The sequence below is a fragment of the Homo sapiens genome, chromosome 6, assembly GCF_000001405.40.
Source record: "Homo sapiens chromosome 6, GRCh38.p14 Primary Assembly".
Taxonomy (NCBI): Eukaryota; Metazoa; Chordata; class Mammalia; order Primates; family Hominidae; genus Homo; species Homo sapiens.
Window position 1 is genome coordinate 12455371 of NC_000006.12, and position 6422 is coordinate 12461792.

General features: G+C 40.9%; 1 annotated feature.

The window, feature by feature from the left end:
• Positions 947–1241: an enhancer, noted in NCBI's record as "tiled region #4078; K562 Activating DNase matched - State 3:PromF". NCBI's record gives its function as "activates a minimal TATA promoter and a strong SV40 promoter by Sharpr-MPRA in K562 cells {active_cell/tissue: K562}" and the evidence as "EXISTENCE:reporter gene assay evidence [ECO:0000049][PMID:27701403]".

Consider the following 6422-nt stretch of genomic DNA (forward strand, 5'->3'; position numbering starts at 1 on the left):
TACTGGCTAATTTTCATGTTGTTACACTTTTTAAAGTCTACTCTTTGCTTATTAATTTTGTTATGATATTTTCTGGGTTAATTTTTTCATGTTGTCAAATCTCATACTTCCTTGTGACTTTTGTCAGTAGTTTTATGCATAGAAAATCCTTCCTTTAGAAGAACATTACAGTTTTCTTTTCAGGTTCACCTGCCACCTTTTCTAGGACTACTGGTTTATGATCCTGTCACCTATGGTTACGTTCCTCAAAGTCCTAACACTTGTCCCCATCTGCACCTGGGTGTGGAGCAGATGACACATGCACAGCACTGGCTTCTTCTGCACCTGAAGAGTGTGGAAAATACACACTGTCAGATCCAAATTAATAGCGAAGTTATTTTATGCTTTTTATTTTTCATATAATTGAATATTCAGCTTTTTCACATGGATTGCTCAGTTTTTCAGCTTAAAGTCAGGAGTTGGGGGAAAAAAAAAGCAAAACAGTTAAGTGAAAAGAAGGAATATCTGGTGAACAAGTAGAGCTTCGTCTGTTTTCACCATGGAAGCTGGTGGTCAGATGCCTGGAGCACAGAGAGAAAAGCCCTTGGAGAAGCTCAGACGTCAAGAGAGAAGCTCTGCCTCATGGTGTCAATGGACAAACCAGGGCTGGGAAGAGTATTTTGCTCTCAAGGTTTGAGGCGCTCTCTTTCAGGGACTTTCCAGGGACTTGAATAAGGGTCTGAAGTCTCCTTTGTCACGTTTCACTTCATCTAATATGATCTCTGTCACTTTTTTTTTTTTTTTTTTTTGAGACTGAGTCTTGCACCGTCACCCAGACTGGAGTGCAGTGGCACGATCTCGGCCCACTGCAACCTCGGCCTCCCCGGGTTCAAGTGATTCTCCTGCCTCAGCCTCCTGAGTAGCTGGGATTACAGGCATGCGCCAACACCCAGCTAATTTTTGTATTTTTAGTACAGACGGGGTTTCACCATGTTGGTCAGGCTGGTCACAAACGCCTAACCTCGTGATTCGCCCACCTTGGCCTCCGAAAGTGTTGGGATTACAGGCGTGAGCCACCGCGCCCTGCCAGCTCTGTCACTGTTACTTGAGAAGAGCAAGTCCGCCCTTGGGCTGAGTTCAAGTTTGCTTCTAAAGAAATAGTGTGGGAGCGATTAAGCAGGAAGCATGTGGCCTGAGCATGCGCATTTCTATCCAGTCAGGGATACTCAGGCTGACGCCTCCCTCCAGTGCAGGAATCATGAAATAACAAATATTTATTGAGCACCTACTCCTTACCAGGCATTGTTTCAGAAATGAGAAATCTTACTTGTATATTGAATTTGCCTAAATTAGACGATCCTTTCAAAAGAACTAACTCTTCTATAGTATGCAGACTGAGGATATCCTAATTCCTTCAGCTTTTCACTTACCTCATCAGATATAATGACACTGTCTCACAATTATATTTCTTCAACGTCCAGCCATTAGTCTCTGTTCAGATATTAATAATTATTATTATGATGATGTTATTACTATTAGTATTATTTACTCCTGAATTAGCAGGATGACATAGAGATCATTAGTGACAATACACCATCCGCAATGTCATCAGAATTGTTTGTACTTCTGGGTCTGTGTCTTTGCTCTATCTTCTCTCTCCCTGCCATCTCTCCACTCTCTTCTCTCTGTTTCTGTCCCTCTTCTGTCTCTCTTCTCCCTCCTCTTCTTCCTCTTCTCCCTCCTCCTCCTCCTCCTCCTTCTCTCTCTCTCTCTCACACACACACACACACACACACACAGCAACATACAGCACGCCTGGATTTCAAACAATGGGGTGCCCTTTCCCACATTACCCATAGAGCACACAACTCCAGCCCTCTCTATTCACAGATTTAGCTGCTGTAGAGGTTCATGGTGTACTGTCACGTACAATTTTCTTTCTTTTGTGGAGTAATTGAAATGGAGTCATGACTCAATCCCTACTGAAACACTGCATTGTGAGGCTGACAGATTTGGAAAATACTGCAACTCCTACCCTAACCAAAGCTGTCTTTCTGGTCCCTATTCTATTATTCTTCCCATCAGTTGCTGTCCGTGCTTGGAGACTCTTTTCCCTACTTAATTTAGTTGCATGACTAGAAGTAATGAGGAGCCTAAGTGAATTGCAGATTGGGGCTGAAAAAAATAGTGCCCTATCTTCAGAGTAAATTAGTTTAAAAGTAAGGCCATGCTTACATCAGGATCTCTCCAATGAAATATTGGAAGAAGTCAGGGTTCCAGGGAATGAAATGACTTTGGACTCCTTGAATCGTAATTGATTAGTGTATATGTGATCCATTTTAAGTGGTTCCAGCTAAGTACAATCCTACTTATAGAGGTTGTTCATTTTAATTTTTCCCTCGATTAAATCCCATTGCCGTGTGAACCTCATTATTTCCCTGGACCATCCTTCCAATTGCTCCTTTACCTTAAAGAAGAAATTGAGATCCTTGTGAAGGTAAGCATTTAGCATGGTTTTATGCTAGAGTGAGATCTGGACTTTGATTTGAGAGCTTCTCATCTGTAGAACTGAACATTTCAGCACAAAGGTACCACCCGCTCAGACTCTAATGCCATCAGCTTCGTAGCTGGGTGGCATTGCTATGGCAGTCTCTCAGTGCACATCATGCCCTGTCTGCCCAATTGTCAATGAGGTCCTTGATTCAAGTATTTTTGGTCCTTATGATGCAGGATTTATACCATGTATTGATGTAGCTAATGCCAGCTAATGACTTGTGACATATACCCATGTGCTCTTCCCTGTTACTCCTCTCTTTCCCCCTCCATTTGCTTCCTCCTTCCCCGCTTATTTCTCCTCACTAAGGAATGGCATCATTCTTGCCATGGCACCAAGATATTAAGCCCCTGGCCTGCTTCTTTGATGACATTGCCTTGATTGTGCCTTGCTACTTTCTCAGGTACTTCTCTAGTTCTTATTACGTTGATGTTGAGCCCTCTGTACCTTTTGAATGTGCTCACAATCTGATATTTTCAATATAATTGTATGCTTTCCATCATTAAAAGTGCTGGGCTAAGGCCTGCATTGAGTAGTGCCTTCTTCAGGCCCCATGTTGCTCTGTGCCAGTCCTGAGTCCACCTTGGACAGCCCTCCTCTCCGACGGAAGACTGCTCCTTCGCTTTGCTACTTATGGCCCCTGAGGGATTCAGCTCTGGGCTACGGTGCCAAACACTCTACTCATCACATTCCTAATTCTCTCCGGGGCCATCCTGATTGTTTTTAGTTTTTTACTGACTCCTGGCCCCATGGAGCAGCCCCTGGCTCTGCAGTCTGTGTGGCAGAGTCCACACAGAGCAACATGGTCTCAGGACCGCAGCAGCCACACAACTCTCAGATCTCTGTGGTCTTTGTGCAGCTCCACTGACTCCTCTCAGCAGGCTTGGAGGACCGTTTATCTTGTCCTGTGGTGCTGAGTAGAAAGACATAGTTTCATGGTAATCAGGCAGTGTGGAAACTAGCTCTCCAGTATAGCATAGTTTCTCATTTCGTAGACTTTTCCTCCTCCTAATTTCAAATGCTCCTTCAATGACAGACATGCAGTATCCCCTATGGAACCCAGTCTGCCAGCTGGAACTGGAGCAGAAAACATTAGCTCTGTCTCACCTGCCACGTGGGCAACACTCACACATAGATGCTAATTTAGATAAGTTTTAATTCAGTCTAACTTAGAAGGCCATTATAATGGGAACAAACAACATCTTCTCATAGGGTAAAACATTGTCCCAGATCCTAGAGCAAGCAAATATGATCTTAACTTTCAGGTACATAAATATTCTTATGAACATACACAGTAACACAACACATATGCAGAGTATGTACCACTGTATAGATCGACCACACACTTCACAGCACGCATCAACACCTGTACCAATGTGACTACAGCATGAAATATTAGGATTATTCAAAAAATAGCCATTTTGAAATCAGCCAATTTCTGTATTGAAAACTGAACATTAAGTTGTAAATAGTGCTCTGTCATGCTTTCCCCAAACCCCTGCCCAGACCGATTTATCTTGGGTCTTTTTAAGGTACAGGTGATTCTCAGTGATTTACTCTAGGAATATGCTAACCCCTTTCTCTTGCCATGCAATTTTAGTCCACACTTGTTCCTTGTTCACCAGAGAAACCTCAATTACAACTTCAGACCCACTGAGCCACTCAATTTCCTATAGGTTCCCATCCAAAATTTGCGGTTCTGCTCCTCTTGTTCCATAATCATGCAGCACTTTGTGCATTCTCTTCTGTAGTACTTTGATATAGGATGGTGGCTATTTGTGTCCACAACCATCCTTACATTATTCTGTGAACTTCCTAAGAGAAGGGGCTCTTCTCACCCATCTCTGCAATCCTAACACTGCAGCGTAGTGCCTGGAATGTGGTAGACCCTCCCTTAATCCATTTCTACTGAATTACTACTGGATGAGTGATTGGATTGCCAATTGATTTGTCACTTCAGTCATGCATTCATATGTTAAACTGTGTGGATCAAAACCCAAAGTTATCCACAGTAGCGTAATACAAACCCAGCCTAAGGATTTCGTTGGTAAAATCCTAGCAGGAGGATCGGTTGCCCTTCCCAGTGTGTAACTGTGCTCTTCCCAACACGGCTGCTTGATCATGCTGATGTATTCAGGGATGCTTTTAGATTTGATTGATTGATTAGTCTCTGTTCTCTTCAGTTTCCCATAAAGTTGCATGTGAGTGTGCTTAATGGGCTAGTACCTATTTTTCTTTCCTTCAGCAGTTGGTTGGGGAATTTTTCTTTGCATAGGGAAATCTAACGCCTTGTCTGTCAGTGTGGCAGTTCTGGTGATGTGACTGTTTAGTGAGACAAGGATTAAGAATATTTAGTCATCGGCACCTAAACTATGTTCTCTCCTGTCAGGGTAGGAGTCAATGAAGACATCTTAGTCTTCTTAATAAGTTACAGATAATCTGTCTCTGAGTGCATGCTTCCTGCTTCTAGCTTGGAGCCAAATGTTGCTCACACTGAAAAGAATAATGTCTGTCTGTTTGTTTGGATATTAACTCTATTTTGATCTATAGCACAATTTTGTAATTCAGATTGTCACCCCTGCACTTCGTACCACATGTGCATATTCGTTCTTCCCAGTCATTGCTGCAATTATCTTGTCTGTTCTTTGTGTAATATGTTCTGTGTGGGCCTCTGCATTGAATTCCATTTCTTGGGCAATTATGGAAATTCCAGTTTGGCTGCAGTTTAACTTTGCACTCTCTATTCATATGAAGTTTTCTAAATAAACTTGAAGAGTAGCATAGTTTGAAATCATCGTGAATCTCCTTAAAGGAAGAATTTTTAAAGAAGGAATAATTTTTGAAAACAATCAATTCTGCTAATCAGGTGTAGTTTTCTCCAGTTATGAACATAATCTCTATCTGGAAACATCCTACAAAAATTATCTCCATTATCTTATGTATGTTAAAATAATTAAAAAATGCTTCTTAAAATGTGTCAATAACTCATATTTTAACTTAAATACTTTTAAATTTTTAAAAATAGACAATAATTGTACATTTCCCTAGGGTAATAGTGATGTTTCAATACACATAAAGTATGATGATCGGATCAGGGTAATTAGCATATCCATCACCTCAAACATTTATCATTTTTTGGTTTGAGAACATTCAATAGTTTCCTTCTAGCTTTTTGAAACTATATATTATTGTTAGCTATAGTCTTCTGCAGTACGGTAGAAGGCTAGAAATTATTCCTCTCATCTATCTGTAATTTCGTATCCTTTAACAAATCTCTCTCTATCCCCCTACCCCCTACCCTTCCCAGTCTCTTATATCTTCTGTTCTACTTTTTACTTCTATGAGATCAACATTTTTTAGCTTCCACATATGAGTAAGAGCACATGGTGTTTAACTTTCTGTTCCTGGCTTATTTCACTTCACATAAGTTCCTCCAGTTCCATTTATATTACCACAAATGACAGGATTTCATTCTTTTTTATGGTTGAATAGTAGTCCATTATGTATGTATTGGAATAACTATAGTCATCAGCTATTGGACACCTAGGTTGATTCCATATCTTGACTATTGTAAATAGTGCTGCAATAAACAAGGGGGTACAGATGTCTGTTTGATACACTGATTTTCTTTCCTTCAGATAAGTGCCCAGTAGTGGGATTTCTGGATCATATGGTAGTTCTATTTGTAATTTTTTGAGGAAACTCCATACTATTTTCCATGGTGGCTTTACTAGTTTACAGTCCCACCAACAGTGTATGAGTTACCTTTTCTCTGCATCCTCACCAGCATTTGCTATCTTTTGTCTTTTGATAATAGCCACCCTAATTGGGGTGAGATGATACTTCATTGTGGTTTTGATTTGCATTCCCCTGATGATTAGTAATGTTG